Below are 15,478 nucleotides of genomic sequence, written 5' to 3'. Positions count from 1 at the left end.
GTGATTATATCTTGTTAAATTTCCTTCTTGGTCTCCTTTAATGCTTTTGGCCTTTCTTTTAATCTTGTCTGATTAGACTGTGTCACCTTGGTCTTGTGTGTTGTTTGTCTTTACCTGGTGTATTTTTGCCCTATGAGTATATCTTATCTTCTTACACACTTTGAAATAATTTTAGATTCATATAGACTTCCAAAAATTGTACAGGAGTTTCTGTCACTCCATGAGTGAGTGGATAAAGAAATTGTGGTACATCCATGCAGTGGAATACTAGTCAGCCATGAAGAAGAACACACATAAAACAACTTGAAGGGACCTTACAGGTATTATGCTTAGTGACAAAAGCCAGTCTTAAAAGGTTCTATACCATGATTCCATTTATGTAACAGTATTGAAGGAACAACATTATGGTGATGAAGAAGGGATTAGAGGTTGCTGGGATTAGGAGGGTGTTACTATAAAAAGTAAGGAGGAGTTTTTCAGGGGCGATGGAAGTTTTGCCTCCTCATTGTAGCAGTGGTTACCTGAATTGATGTGTGTCATACAATTTCATAGAACTTGTGTTGTGGGGGGCAGGAAACCACTCTCAGACCCAGTGATTGGCTAGAAAGACTCAGGACTCAGAAACTGTTGAGCTCAGAGGGAGAGGGTGACCAGTCTCTGCAGTTGCAGCCCTGGGGCTGTTCTAATCTGTATCTTTTCCTGGTAATAGACATGGCTGTGAGCATGACAGGTGTCAGTGAGCTCTGTGTGCCTCATCAACGAATCATCCAACCTGAAGGTGGTTGTGGGAAACTCTTGGACCTGCAGTCAGTATCAGAAGGCCTGGGCAGACTTGGCCAGCCACCTGGAGCACTGTGCCCTTAAACTCAGGTTTGCCTAACATCAGATACTATGTAAAAACCAGTGAAATTGAAATAGGTCTGCTGATAACAATATCATACCAAGCTTGTTAGAACAAGTTTATCTGTGTCTTAAAAAAAAACAAAAACAAAAAAACCCTGGGATTTTGATGGTAATTGTGTTAAACCTAATACAACAATCTCGGGAGAATTGATACTTTTTTTTGAGACAGACAAATAGTATTCAATTTTAAATTTCAGTTTCCAGTTGTTCATTGCTAATATATAGAAATACGACTGCTTTTTGTGTGTTAACCTTGTATCTTGTGGCTTTACTAAACTCGTTGATTCTACGAGGGTTTTTCTTTTTTAAAAAGATTTGTTGGGATTTTCTGTGTGGACAATTACGTTATCTGTGATTTTCTCCTTTCCAGGCTCTTTGCTAATGCCTTTTAACTTTTCTTGCCATATTACACTGGCTAGGACTTCTAATACTGTGCTGAATAGGAGTGGTGAGGCTGGTCACCCTTGGACCTTATCCTGTGGGGAAAGAATTCAGTTTTTCATCATTAAGTATGATGTTAGCTATAGGTTTTTTGTAGATGTTCTTTATCAGGTTGAAGAAGTTTCCTTCAATTCCTAGTTTGAGAGTTTTTATTACAAATGGAGATTGAATTTTATCAAATGCCTTTTCTGCATTAATTGATATAACCATGTGTTTTTCCTTCTTCAGACTATTAATATAGTGAGTTATATTGGTTTTTGAATGTTGAACTTTTCAGTTATATTGGTTTTGAATGTTGAACTTTGGAATGCTTGAATTCCATTCCTCAATTAACCCCACTTCGTCCTGGTGTCTTATATTCTTCGTACCTGGCTAGATCTGATTTCCTCATATTTTGTTGAGGATTTTCGTGCATATATTCATAAGGGATGTTGGTCTCTAGTATTTTTCTCTAGTTTTGGTATCAGAGTGATTGTTGACCTTATAAAATGAGAAGTGCTCGGTCCCCTTTTATTTTTGGAATTCAGTGTATCGAATTGCCATTTCTTTACAAGTTTAGTAAAATTCACCAGTGAAATCATCTGGCTTCAGAAACTGCCTTTTTTGGAAGGGTTTCAACTTCAGCTTATCTATTTAATCTTCAGTGAGTTTTGGTAGTTTTTGGTTTTCAAGCAATTGGTTTATTTCATCCAATTGATTGAATTTAGGTACATAAAGATGTACATAGTATTATTTATTATTATTGTTGGAATATCTTGAAGGGTTTGTGGTGATATACTTTTTCATTCCTGACATTGGTCATTTCTCTTCCCTTTTTTCTTTGATAAGCTTATTGCAAGACTGATAGTTTTATTGATCTCTTCGAAAAACTAGGTTTTGATTGATTTTCCTCTATTTTTGCTTTTTCGTTTGATTTCTGCTCTTTATTTTGGTGACTGTTTCTATGCTACTCGTGAATGGGGTGTTCTACAAGTGTAAATCAAGCTAAGTTGCTTAATGGTGGTGTTCAAGTCTACTGTGTCCTTAATGAAAAGAAGGTCTTAGTTTTAATGTAGTCTAATTTATATTTTATTGTTAGCATTTTGTGTCTTACTACAGTTTTATCCCTAAAGTTTACATAAGCAAGAGTTCAGAGTAATCGACCCTGGTATTTTGATTACTTAATTTTAAATGGGAAGTAAATGTCTCGGGCCAGCAGTGTGCCCAAGGATCCTGAAAAGTAGAGCAAGAATTGTCCCTGACTCAGGGGGAGGCACTCCTTAGCAGACTGTGGAAGTGGCACACTTCAGCCTTGACCTCTTAGTGGTTCCAGGGGTTGGCAGCTTCTAGGAAGACAGCCCCACAGCTCAAAAGGTTTCTTCTCCAGCCAGCCCTGTGTCTGTGTCTCACTAGGAATGGCCCATCGCTGCATCTCCTCCTGTGGCCCTGGTGTCACAGGTTGTAGCCAGAGAGGGGCTTCTTCCCAGGCTGTGAATCCTACTATGGAGGACTTTGGACTCTGCCTGGAACCCTGGCAGGGGTCCACTCTGACCTTCCTTATCTTCGTCTGACCCAGCTGTTACCACCCCTGGTAGCCCTTTTCATAGCTACCGTGGCTGGGTGCAACGGGTACTTTTATCTGACAACTTGGCCAGGCCAAGTTGATTTTCGTCAAACAAACACTGGTCTAGATGGCGCTGTGTAACTAACATGTAAGCCCGTAGACTTGAAGTAAAACAAACAGTTTATCCTTCATAACGTGAGTGGGCCTCATCCGATCAGTTGAGGACTATAAGAGGAAAAGGCTGAACTCCCTTGAGGAGGAGGAAATTCTGCCTCCAGCCTGCATCCCCAGCTCTTCCCTGGGTCTCCAGGATGCTGGCCTGCCCTCAAGATGTTAGACTTGCCAGCCCCCAACATCCTATGAGCCAGTTCCTTAAAACAAATCTCTGCATCTCCCTCCATCCTGTTGGTTCTGTTTCTCTAGTGAGGCCTGACTAGTAAATGGGGGGTTCTAGCTCTGGCCTTATTTCCTGAGAGATGGGGACGGAGTTCCCCTTCTGGTTCCCTTTGGTGGTTCTGGCGTGGCTTCAGGCAGAAGAACAGCATGGAGACCTCTCTCCTCTGCCATCTGTCACGTGGAAGAGCAGATCGGTTTTTGGAAGTCTTTGGGGCAGTGGGAAATCAAGCTTGTCTGCAGGCAGCAGGAGATACTACAGTTCCTGGTTCCGGAGAGAAGGGCCACTTTCTGAGAGAGACTCTTGCTTTGTTGCCCATGCTGCAGTGCAGTGGTACAATCTCCACCTCCTGGACTCAAGCCATTCTCCTGCCTCAGCCTCCCGAGTAGCTGGGATTAACAGGTGTGCATCATCACGCCTGGCAACTGTTTTTTTTTTTTTTTTTAAACTTTTAGTAGAGACAGACAGGGTTTTGCTGTGTTGGCCAGGCTGGCCTCAAGTGATCTGCCTGCCTTGGCCTTGCAAAGTGCTGGGATTACAGGCGTGAGCCACCATGCCCAGCCCTACTCTTTATGTCCAAAAGCCGAGGCCTTCCTGTAGGCCATTCATGATGGATTGCTGCTCACCCCACGTGGCCATTAACACATGGCTGTGGGTTTCCAACCTGGCCCCTTGTATGAAAAACCCTAGGTAAACACATCAAAATAATTATCCCCCGGCATAGCACTTTATTTAAAAGTCCCTCATTTTATGATGAGGAAATGGGGCCTCCAGGAGGGCAATGGGCAGAGTGTGACCATCCTACCCACTGCCTCTCAGGAGCCCCTTGTATCTGCCACGAGTGGCCTGCCTCACTGCAAGCTGTGGCACAGATACGTAGTTAGACATGGTTAATAAAAATCATTGTGATTTAATAAACAGTGTGGTGTTTCTGTACAGGCCCCTCCCTGTCTGTCCCACAGCCAGCGGGAACGCTGGATGGATGTGGGCCTGGGTCCCTGGAGCCCACGAGGTTCCTGCAGCTTTCCTAAGAGGAAAAACTGATCCGGTGATGGAAGGCTGCGGCCTCCTAAAAGTCTCCCCTGACGAGGAGACACGGCAGGGGCCACAGTCACAACCAGATCGAGATGATTAGGGAAGGTGCCGCGGAGTGCGGTCCACTACACATCTTCAGGGTGCATCTGGACTCTCTTGGGGCTGCAACAGTATTTTTCACATAGTTTGAGGAGCTCTGACAAAATGAAGACGGATGAGGCCAATCCAGTTAAAAACAGCAAATCTGCCAAGGGAGAAAACAGAAAAGATTCAGGACGGGCTGCAGCTCTGTTGCGCCGGCAGGAAGCGCCTTCCCTGCCAGTCCTCCTGATAAAGTGAGAGGTGCGGAGGACCAGCCCTTTTCATTCCCCTGAAGGCAGGGAGATCTTCCTAACCCAGAATCCAAAATGCTGCAGTTCCAGAAGGGCCTGCCTGTGGTTCCAGGCAAACACCAGGCAGCTCCAGAGCACAGGGTGGGTCTGGCAGGCAGCTGGGAGCATGTTATGGACTCGGGCTGGAAGGGGAATGAGTTTCCTTTCCCTACAGCAGCTGTCCCAGTGCCCTGCTGCTTGCAAATGTCCTGAGTGACCAGTCTGGGCTCCCTGTCCAGTGCACCCCGACATGTTCCCTGGGATGAATTCCCAGCGACATGTTCCCTGGGATGAATTCCCAGCGTCTCCCTCTGCTCCTGTCACATGCTGTTTTGAGGAACCATCCCTGGCTCCCTGTTGATGATTCCTGATGTACGGGCTGCCCAAGCACAACCCCTTCAGGCGTGGGAAGCCGACTTCCTTCCCGGCGGGTGGAAACAGCCAGTGAGCAGAGTGTTTTGGGGGGTCCTCTTGTCTGTTCCTACAGGGCATTCACTGGTGACCCACACTGACACTGCTTTTTGGAGGACAAGGCAGAGTTGACCATCCCAGTCTTGCCTGGAGGTCATAGGACCGTTGTCACTGCAGCCTCAGGTCTGATGCATAATCCCATGACCCTCCAGATCTGAGCCATGACCCACTCTGGGCCCTGCCGGCGGGGAGGCGGTGGGCCCATGGGGGCTGCCTCACTGGCCTCCCTCGTCCTCTATTCCGGGTTGGGGTTGGCTCTCAGCACACTGGGGAAAAGGGTGGGGTCGATGACTTGTCCCTGGCTCCCTCCCCTTGCCCCATGCCTGCCATAACCGCAGCTTCAGAGAAAGGTGCCACACTCGCTTGGCTGACAATGTCGGGGAGTCCCCTGGGCTCCACACCAGGGCGTGTGCCCTTGGAAAACCACGGTGACTGAATCATGTCCCTTTCAGCCAAAACTGGAAGACAGCCCAGCTCCCTGCCTTCAGGTGACCAGATCTCTAAGTCACATTACTGGCCCCAGGGTCAAGTCCAGGCTCCCCAGCTGGGGTACCTCCCAGGCTGAGTACAGGCCTTGCTCCCTCCTTCCTCCCTGCACGTGCTCTGAGCCTCCAGCCCGACGCCTGGGATGCCGGTGCCCCTTGGGCCCCAGACCCTACTACTCTTGAGTGACAGGCCTCTTCCTAGGGGTTTCTGTGCATCCGTCACATCACCCACGTTAGAGTCCCTTCCTGTGAGGACAGAAGGGCCCTGAAGACAGAGCCGGCCCCTGGTGAGCTCTGCTTTCCCGCACTGACCCCTCCTGGGCTGCAGCTCCCCACCTGGCAGCTGCCGCCCCCCATGGCCCTGGTCGAGGTCACCTGTCGTTCCCGTCCCCACCACTCACCAAGCGCTCCCAGGTTCTCCGTCTGGAAGACCCTCTGCAGCGGGGGGATGTAAATGACCGCCAGCTGCCCCAGGATGGACCCCAGGACGGAGTAGAGGAACATGTGGTTCCTGAGAAAGCCGATCTCAAATATCAGCTTGGTCTGCAGGGAGAAGGTCACACGGGGGATTGTGTGCTGTCCACACCCCAGGTACAGGCAGGGGAGCTCTGACTGCCCACGCTGAGCCAGAGCCGCTCAATGCTGCGGGCAGGGTCGGGGCGCTGCTGTCGAGAACACACAGCAGCTCTGCAGCGAGGAGGGTCAGCCCGGGTCTCACCTGAGAGCGGCAGGTCAAGGCGTTGAAGAGATCGAAAAACACAAAACAAGTGAACGTCATCGTCGTGGTGCGGGGAGTGCTTGCTCTGTCTTCAGGCATCTGGAAGGTGAGCACAAAGGTGAGAGGTTAGGCGGGAAGAGACAACCTCCATCCTGAACCAAAGGGCACAGGCCTGCCTCACTGCTCCTGGGGCATGGCTGGGAGCCACTTACAAGCTCATGAATCGGTCACACAGCTTCCTCCAGGTGTGAGGTCAGTGGCTGCTACCCCAGGGTCTCCCCAGCACATGCTGATTTGCTGCCACCATGAGGATGGGGGCAGGGCACCTATGGGTGGAGGAAACACCACTTCCTCCAGGAAGTAACTGTCTCCCTGGGAGGTGATGCCACTCCAGTTAAACCCAGAGTGAAGGTCATTTCCTACAAGGAAGGCTGAAGGATGGCCGTCAGTAGTAGAGGGAGAGCTGGAGGGAAAATGGAGGCAGGGTACCCGGCCAGGGTCCCCTCCCGCTTCCTGCACATGGGCAATCTGTGGTGTGGTCACATGGGTCACCTGCCTCATTTCCCACCTAGATCGTGGCCCGTCCTGGCATAGAGCTCCCTGAACCTGCAGGCCATGAAAAGGTGACCCAGGCCTAGATCCAAAGCAAACAATCACCTCTAGAGTGTAACACAGGAGGATATTTAGCAGATTTCAAATTGTTTCCTGGTGACAAGGGAACAGGGGGCAGCCTGTCCTCATGTACATTTCAACTCCCGTCTCGGCAAAGTCATCTCCACCCCGCTGGCCTCTGTAGTTCCCAGGCACACACCTGGCGACCTCCCTTCTTTCAAGGGTCACCCAGTCCCTTTGCCTCATGCACCCCACGCCTCTGATGGCATCACATTGTCCGGTGTGTGTACATGTTTGCCTCTCCCAGATGTGAGCTGTGGCAGGAGGGCAGGGACTGCAGTCCCCAGCGTCTGCACCGCACCAGGGCTTGGAGAACAGGCCGGGGTGACCCTCGCTCACCTCCTTCCAGAAGATAAAGAGGGTCCCGCTGATGATGATGGCCGCGGACATGAGGATCTTCAGGATGAGGGCTCTGCTGAGGATGGTGTCCCGCACACTCCGTGGTGGCTGCCTGAAGGCGTCTTTGTCAACGGGCTCTACCCCCAAGCTGCTCCGAACAAGACACAGACACTTTGAAATGAACCAGGAATGAAATAAAGGACCCTTGAAACAGCTGTGCCTGAGCCTCCCAGGCCAAGTTGGCACAGGGGGCAGGGCCAGGCATTTGCTGAACGCCCCCAGGCATCGCACCTGCCCTCCTCGGCACCTTCCAGAAGCCCCAGAGCCTGGGTCCATGGGCAGCTGTGCCCCTCCATCTGTCCCGCAGACAGTGAAGGAAGACCACCCCGTAAGGCCAACCACACACAGTTCCATACACCCAGATGATCTCCATCACCCCGAGGGGACCCCCCCCAACGTTGCGCCTGGAGAAACAGGCTCCAGGCTCCGCCCTCCGCAGAGCCCCTCATCAGCTGAGAGAGACCAGCCTCCAGCCAACTCCACACAGCAGGGTTGAGGCTAGACCCGCAGCAGGCGGTATGGTGGGAGTGGCCGGGTGAGGCCCTGCCGCTCAGACACAGCTGAGGCCAGCTTCCTGGTCCCACTTCTGCTCCCAGGGAGGGCTGGCAGGAGAGGTAACCCTCACACTTGGCTTTGGGGACACAAATGAGGACTCTCTTTCCCTTGGCAGCTATCACTGGTGATAACAGCAGCACTGAGCTCCAGCGGAAGCACTGGCTCTGTGCTCATACGGTTACGCACACGTGGCCAGATGGGTCCCCTGACTCCAAAGCGCATTCCTTCCCCCACACCACTTGGCCAGCTTGTTGAAGGGGATATTAAGTGGCGGAGCGGGTGGACTCCTGAGCACCTACTGAGTGGCAAGCCCTTTATCTCTAGACATCAGGGATGAAACACAAACTCCGCCTCCATGAAACTGATGTTCTAAAGGGGAGACAGATCACAATCAGATCCATAAGGAAAAGTGTGTCTGTGTGTATCTTCCTCTCTAGGGAAAAATACAGCAGGGTGAGGGGATTGAGTGGGAGTGCAATCAGGGAAGACTTCCTGAAGGCAGTGACTGGTGACTGGAATGAAGCATGAGAATGAGCCATGCAGGTTGCCCAGAGAGAGCATCCAGGCAGAGGGAGCAGAAAGTTCCATCCTCACCCAGCTCTGCCGGCCCAGGTACTTTCTCCTCTGCCTTCTACTCCCAGTCTCACTGCAGTGCAACACACTTCAGTTTTCTGGGAACTCCTGATGGAAAGTGGCTGTATTTGTTCATCCCTATAGCCTTGGGGCACAGCCAGCAGCCCCTGGAGGAAGCCCCGCAGGTGGGTAAAGAGACACAGGGCTCCCAGCCGGCCCTGCCTCACCTCTGCGCCGGTGGCCCATCCATGATGATGTTGATCCATAGGATCTGCATGGCGTTGAGGGGGCTGGGCAGGTTGAACACGGTGGACAGAGTGATGAGACTCAGGGCGGAGATGCTCCTGCGGGGCACACGCAGCCAGTCAGCGGCCGCCCGCCAGGCGTGGTGCTTAATGACACTCGGAATGCTGGCCTCTACTTACGTGCTCAGCTGGAATCGGACAAAGTTTTTGATGTTGTAAAAAATACCCTTGCCTTCCTCCACTGCATTCCTGCAAGAGAAGAGAGCCATTTACTCACGGAGCGGGCCTGCGTGAGGGCTGGACCAGTGCATCGGTTGCTGCAAGGGGCAGTGGTGACTCGCCCAGATTGATGTTATACTTGGGCCCCTGCTGGTTCCCCTTGCTGGCATTCTTGGGGACACATTTGTAGGAGACGGTGGTGTTCTAACAGGTGCCCCTCGGCCACTGGGAACTGATCCTTGAGCCATGTTCGCCCTTCTGTGCCAAGGGTACACCTGATGCCTCCAATCAGACCATGAATTACTCTCCGGCCGAGCCCAGGGGGCCCCATCCCTGCCCAGACTCCCGAAGTGCGCCGTGCATCTCCGCGATTTACCAAAGAGGAGAGAGAGACGCAGCAAAACCAGTTCGGCCTAAAAATGAGGTCCGGAGGACGGTAAGGAGGGAGGGATGGGGAGGCTGAAGGACATCGCCTGCTTCTGTCTTTAGAAGGCTCTTCGCGGAAGCCCTTTTAAACCTTGACCTGGGGTCACTAATGTAGAAAAACAATTACGCACCGTGGGTGCCCCCACCGCCAGATTTTACTAAAATATTTTGAAAAGAACTATAGAGCTGATATTATGACTTTTTTTTTATTTAAATTTTTTTTTTTTTATTATACTCTAAGTTTTAGGGTACATGTGCACATTGTGCAGGTTAGTTACATATGTATACATGTGCCATGCTGGTGCGCTGCACCCACTAACGTGTCATCTAGCATTAGGTATATCTCCCGATGCTATCCCTCCCCCCCTCCCCCGACCCCACCACAGTCCCCAGAGTGTGATATTCCCCTTCCTGTGTCCATGTGATCTCATTGTTCAATTCCCACCTATGAGTGAGAATATGTGGTGTTTGGTTTTTTGTTCTTGCAATAGTTTACTGAGAATGATGGTTTCCAATTTCATCCATGTCCCTACAAAGGACATGAACTCATCATTTTTTATGGCTGCATAGTATTCCATGGTGTATATGTGCCACATTTTCTTAATCCAGTCTATCATTGTTGGACATTTGGGTTGGTTCCAAGTCTTTGCTATTGTGAATAGTGCCGCAATAAACATACGTGTGCATGTGTCTTTATAGCAGCATGATTTATAGTCCTTTGGGTATATACCCAGTAATGGGATGGCTGGGTCAAATGGTATTTCTAGTTCTAGATCCCTGAGGAATCGCCACACTGACTTCCACAATGGTTGAACTAGTTTACAGTCCCACCAACAGTGTAAAAGTGTTCCTATTTCTCCACATCCTCTCCAGCACCTGTTGTTTCCTGACTTTTTAATGATTGCCATTCTAACTGGTGTGAGATGATATCTCATAGTGGTTTTGATTTGCATTTCTCTGATGGCCAGTGATGATGAGCATTTTTTCATGTGTTTTTTGGCTGCATAAATGTCTTCTTTTGAGAAGTGTCTGTTCATGTCCTTCGCCCACTTTTTGATGGGGTTGTTTGTTTTTTTCTTGTAAATTTGTTTGAGTTCATTGTAGATTCTGGATATTAGCCCTTTGTCAGATGAGTAGGTTGTGAAAATTTTCTCCCATGTTGTAGGTTGCCTGTTCACTCTGATGGTAGTTTCTTTTGCTGTGCAGAAGCTCTTTAGTTTAATTAGATCCCATTTGTCAATTTTGGCTTTTGTTGCCATTGCTTTTGGTGTTTTGGACATGAAGTCCTTGCCCATGCCTATGTCCTGAATGGTAATGCCTAGGTTTTCTTCTAGGGTTTTTATGGTTTTAGGTCTAACGTTTAAATCTTTAATCCATCTTGAATTGATTTTTGTATAAGGTGTAAGGAAGGGATCCAGTTTCAGCTTTCTACATATGGCTAGCCAGTTTTCCCAGCACCATTTATTAAATAGGGAATCCTTTCCCCATTGCTTGTTTTTCTCAGGTTTGTCAAAGATCAGATAGTTGTAGATATGCGGCATTATTTCTGAGGGCTCTGTTCTGTTCCATTGATCTATATCTCTGTTTTGGTACCAGTACCATGCTGTTTTGGTTACTGTAGCCTTGTAGTATAGTTTGAAGTCAGGTAGTGTGATGCCTCCAGCTTTGTTCTTTTGGCTTAGGATTGACTTGGCGATGCGGGCTCTTTTTTGCTTCCATATGAACTTTAAAGTAGTTTTTTCCAATTCTGTGAAGAAAGTCATTGGTAGCTTGATGGGGATGGCATTGAATCTGTAAATTACCTTGGGCAGTATGGCCATTTTCACGATATTGATTCTTCCTACCCATGAGCATGGAATGTTCTTCCATTTGTTTGTGTCCTCTTTTATTTCCTTGAGCAGTGGTTTGTAGTTCTCCTTGAAGAGGTCCTTCACATCCCTTGTAAGTTGGATTCCTAGGTATTTTATTCTCTTTGAAGCAATTGTGAATGGGAGTTCACTCATGATTTGGCTCTCTGTTTGTCTGTTGTTGGTGTATAAGAATGCTTGTGATTTTTGTACATTGATTTTGTATCCTGAGACTTTGCTGAAGTTGCTTATCAGCTTAAGGAGATTTTGGGCTGAGACCATGGGGTTTTCTAGATAAACAATCATGTCGTCTGCAAACAGGGACAATTTGACTTCCTCTTTTCCTAATTGAATACCCTTTATTTCCTTCTCCTGCCTGATTGCCCTGGCCAGAACTTCCAACACTATGTTGAATAGGAGCGGTGAGAGAGGGCATCCCTGTCTTGTGCCAGTTTTCAAAGGGAATGCTTCCAGTTTTTGCCCATTCAGTATGATATTGGCTGTGGACACATACACTCTCCCAAGACTAAACCAGGAAGAAGTTGAATCTCTGAATAGACCAATAACAGGCTCTGAAATTGTGACAATAATCAATAGTTTACCAACCAAAAAGAGTCCAGGACCAGATGGATTCACAGCCGAATTCTACCAGAGGTACAAGGAGGAACTGGTACCATTCCTTCTGAAACTATTCCAATCAATAGAAAAAGAGGGAATCCTCCCTAACTCATTTTATGAGGCCAGCATCATTCTGATACCAAAGCCGGGCAGAGACACAACCAAAAAAGAGAATTTTAGACCAATATCCTTGATGAACATTGATGCAAAAATCCTCAATAAAATACTGGCAAACCGAATCCAGCAGCACATCAAAAAGCTTATCCACCATGATCAAGTGGGCTTCATCCCTGGGATGCAAGGCTGGTTCAATATACGCAAATCAATAAATGTAATCCAGCATATAAACAGAGCCAAAGACAAAAACCACATGATTATCTCAATAGATGCAGAAAAAGCCTTTGACAAAATTCAACAACCCTTCATGCTAAAAACTCTCAATAAATTAGGTATTGATGGGACGTATTTCAAAATAATAAGAGCTATCTATGACTTTTTTTTTTTTTTCTAAGTGTGTTAAGGCTTCCTATGGCGAATCAACTGTGGAGACACCTTTGTAAAGTGCACGATCCACCTAGCCTCAATATTTGTTTATTTGGATTTTTTGTATCAGGCTTAAAAAGTTTTCCCTCACCCCCAACTAACCACTGCGATTAGCTTATGAGGAGAGTCTCAGAACTAATTAAAATTAGGAAGGTAAATGTATTAAGAAAAAAATACAGAAAAGTGAAACAGAACAAATAGTTTTGTGCAAGCCCCAGAACCTAGAGAGCACCTCCGTGGTCAGCGATGGGGGTGTTTCTGCCCAGGTCTCTTTGCAATGCCTGAGATATATGTATCAACACGCAGGCCTCAAACGGAAGATGTTCATTTTAATCCTTTCTCACCCCACACTCAAGTGTGAGCACGTATTTGGCCACAGGTTTTCCTTACATATTCAGCTGCTGCCCACCAGCCTGAGCCAGGCGGGCATTCCCAGTACCACATGAAATGCACCCACAGGCAGCAAATCCCATCTCTGCTTCATATCCGTAACATTCCCCTGGGGGCAGCATGTGACTAGCCCCAGGCATCATGGACCCCATGACCCTGCTATGAGAGGCTGTTGGTACTTGGGGTTGGGGGCACCTGCCACACTGACGAGCCCCGAGATTCAGCTCTCCCTGGGGACTCCGCGAGACCCCCCCCTCTATCTCCACAGTAGCAGGTTCCAGGGAGAAGCTGGTGACCCCAGGCATTTTTGCAACTGAAAAACAACCAGAAGGGCAGCTTACATGATGGCTGAGAAGTCATCATCCACCAGGATCATGTTGGCGGCCTCTTTGCTGACGTCCGTCCCTGTCTGCCCCATGGCGATCCCAATGTCTGCAGACTTCAGGGCCACTGCGTCGTTCACCCCATCCCCAGTCATGGCCACGATCGCCCCTGACTCCTGCAGAGCCTTTGGAAAGAGCAGGCAATGAAGGCCTGCAGCCTGACGACCACCTCCCAGTGCCCGGCCATGCACACCCTGTGGCCAGCCACAGACACCTCTGTCTGGAGGGCACCCGGAATTCGAATCCCAGCTTCACCCACATTAGCTGTGGGAATTGGGCGAGCCCTTGACCCTCTTGACCTCAGTTTCCCTATCTGCAAAGTGGGAGCAACAGTTTCTTCTTCCCAGGGCTGTTGTGAGGCCCAAACTGAGATGACGGATGTGACGGTGCCCAGCACGGTCAGTAAAGGCTCATAAAGGTTATCCAGTCCCAGTAATAAACAGTAATCAACAGTGCGGCCCTGGAAACCATGGGGTACCTGGTAAGTATTACTACCTTCTTTGAGGAGTAACTCACATAGGGATTTACTCTGTAGAGCTAAAAATAACATGAAAGAAGAAAGCCCGTCTACTAAAAGAGCTCAAGAGCAAACTTTCAGAGCACAGGCGAGAAAACCAAGCACATTTTCTACCTTTTTTTGGTATTCAGAGTCAGAAAAATCACATCAGCTCTTTATTGGGCTCCTGCTGTGTGCCAAGAGATTCATGGGCCTGGCTTTGTTTAATTCTCTACCAACCCTGTGAATCAGCTGACGGCATTAATAGTTCCCCCATTTTACAGATGAGGAAACGGAGGCACGGAGTTGAGTAAAAGGAATAAAGCCAAAAAGCACCCAGCACTTTGGGAGGCGAAGATAGGCGGATCACCTGAGGTCAGGAGTTTGAGACCAGCCTGGCCAACATGGCGAAACCCTGCCTCTACTAAAATTACAAACATTAGCCGGGTGTGCTGGTGCACACCGCAATCCCAGCTACTTGGGGAGACTGAGGCAGGAGAATCGCTTAACCCTGGGAGGCAGAGGTTGAAGTAAGCCGAGATTGTGCCACTGCACTGCAGCCTAGGTGACAGAGCAAGACTCCGTACCTACAACCCCACCCCCAGAAAAAAAAAAGATAGCTTCTCTTTTAGTTTTTCCCTCTACGTTATCCAATTACAGCTCCCAGTTTTCACTGTATGTAGCAAAGGTCCCCCAGTTCTCCCATCTTCTTTAAAATTATCCCCAGGTTTGGTGGGGCTCGTGTCCGCCCAGCTACAGATGACACTTCCCAGCATCCCCTGCAGCTAAACCTGGGCCCGTGACTGTGTTCTGGCCAAGGGGCTGTCAGCGCAAGTGTTGCTGGCAACTTCAGAGCCTCGTCCTCTCCAAGGGAGCTGCCCACGCGCCCCTGCTCAACCTCCTCCCCTCCCCCTGGCTATGAAAAGGTAACTCCCGGGGCAGCTGCCCTGGACCTAGAGAAGGAAGCCACGGTCGGGCCCTGCACTGTCACCCGACGGACGCATGAGCTCCTCGAGCCACAGTGTCTCTGGCCCGGCCCCAGCAGCGCAGCCTGTGCCTGCCTTGCCCAGCGAACCTTGATGATTTTGAGCTTGTGCTTTGGGCTGGTCCTGAAGAACACGGACACCTGGACACGGAGACGGGGAAGACGAAGAATCAGATTTCAAAGCTGTGACCCAGCCCCACTGCCAGCCAAGCCTCCGGGGACCCACCTTCCCCACGCGGTCGGCCAGCTCGCCCTTCTCCACGCTGTCCACCTCCTCCCCGGACATGGCTTGCAGCTTCCCGTTGCACAGGCCGATGTTTCTTCCTTCAGAAGAACCTGTTCTGAGGGCCTGCTCTGAGGCCCGCGTCCCCACCCCTCACTCCCGGCCCCACCTCGGCCATGGGGAACACCAAGAATAAAACCATGCTGGAGACGGTTTACTGAGGACCTACCATGCTGCACGGCCTCGGTTCTATCCACAGGATTAACTTACACCAAACGCCTCATTATCCCCACTTTAAAGATGGGGAAACAGAAGTGACTTTGCCGAGGACACACAGCTGGTAAGGAGTAACACTGGAACCTGACACGGCTCTGATTCCAAAGCCCGTGAACCTTTTCCCAGCACCAGGCTGAGACCACCCATATAATAGTAACTAGAGGGGCTGGGCGCAGTGGCTCATGCCTGTAATCCCAGCACTTTGTGAGGCCGAGGTGGGCAGATTCCCTGAGTTCAGGAGTTCAAGACCAGCCTGGGCAACACAGT

General features: G+C 49.4%; 1 protein-coding gene and 1 long non-coding RNA gene across 7 annotated transcripts in view, besides 2 other annotated features; one reads left to right on the top strand and one right to left on the bottom strand.

The window, feature by feature from the left end:
- Positions 1-812: 812 nt before the first annotated feature.
- ATP2C2-AS1 (ATP2C2 antisense RNA 1) lies at positions 813-8,915 on the top strand. The gene is made up of 3 exons (NR_146503.1): positions 813-870; positions 5,175-6,479; positions 7,281-8,915. It is a non-coding gene; the product is annotated as an ATP2C2 antisense RNA 1 (long non-coding RNA).
- The window catches only part of ATP2C2 (ATPase secretory pathway Ca2+ transporting 2), a 95,650-nt gene continuing 84,158 nt past the window's right edge, over positions 3,987-15,478 (bottom strand). For 3 of the 6 annotated variants that reach the window (NM_001286527.3, XM_011523486.3, XM_011523487.3), the window contains 10 exons: positions 14,939-15,036; positions 14,803-14,853; positions 13,190-13,356; positions 8,986-9,054; positions 8,788-8,904; positions 8,582-8,668; positions 7,373-7,520; positions 6,362-6,460; positions 6,045-6,186; positions 3,987-4,560 (listed from right to left, as the gene is read on the bottom strand). In NM_001286527.3, the coding sequence (NP_001273456.2) occupies positions 4,442-4,560; positions 6,045-6,186; positions 6,362-6,460; positions 7,373-7,520; positions 8,582-8,668; positions 8,788-8,904; positions 8,986-9,054; positions 13,190-13,356; positions 14,803-14,853; positions 14,939-15,036 (1,097 nt within the window). In that variant the 3' untranslated portion in view covers positions 3,987-4,441. The remainder of the gene's footprint in view (positions 4,561-6,044; positions 6,187-6,361; positions 6,461-7,372; positions 7,521-8,581; positions 8,669-8,787; positions 8,905-8,985; positions 9,055-13,189; positions 13,357-14,802; positions 14,854-14,938; positions 15,037-15,478) is intronic. The other 3 variants (NM_014861.4, XM_047434994.1, NM_001291454.2) reach the window with 1 other exon arrangement.
- Positions 6,019-7,218: an enhancer, noted in NCBI's record as "CDK7 strongly-dependent group 2 enhancer chr16:84494562-84495761 (GRCh37/hg19 assembly coordinates)". NCBI's record gives its function as "activates an origin of replication core promoter dependent on BRD2, BRD4, P300/CBP, MED14 and CDK7 cofactors, with strong dependence on CDK7, by STARR-seq in HCT116 cells {active_cell/tissue: HCT116}" and the evidence as "EXISTENCE:reporter gene assay evidence [ECO:0000049][PMID:35650434]".
- Positions 8,574-9,073: an enhancer, noted in NCBI's record as "H3K4me1 hESC enhancer chr16:84492707-84493206 (GRCh37/hg19 assembly coordinates)". NCBI's record gives its function as "activates a minimal SCP1, AML or CMV promoter by ChIP-STARR-seq in primed H9 embryonic stem cells {active_cell/tissue: H9 hESC(primed)}" and the evidence as "EXISTENCE:reporter gene assay evidence [ECO:0000049][PMID:30033119]".

Source organism: Homo sapiens, chromosome 16, assembly GCF_000001405.40.
Source record: "Homo sapiens chromosome 16, GRCh38.p14 Primary Assembly".
NCBI classification, from domain to species: Eukaryota; Metazoa; Chordata; class Mammalia; order Primates; family Hominidae; genus Homo; species Homo sapiens.
This window is presented reverse-complemented; position numbering and strand designations above follow the sequence as displayed.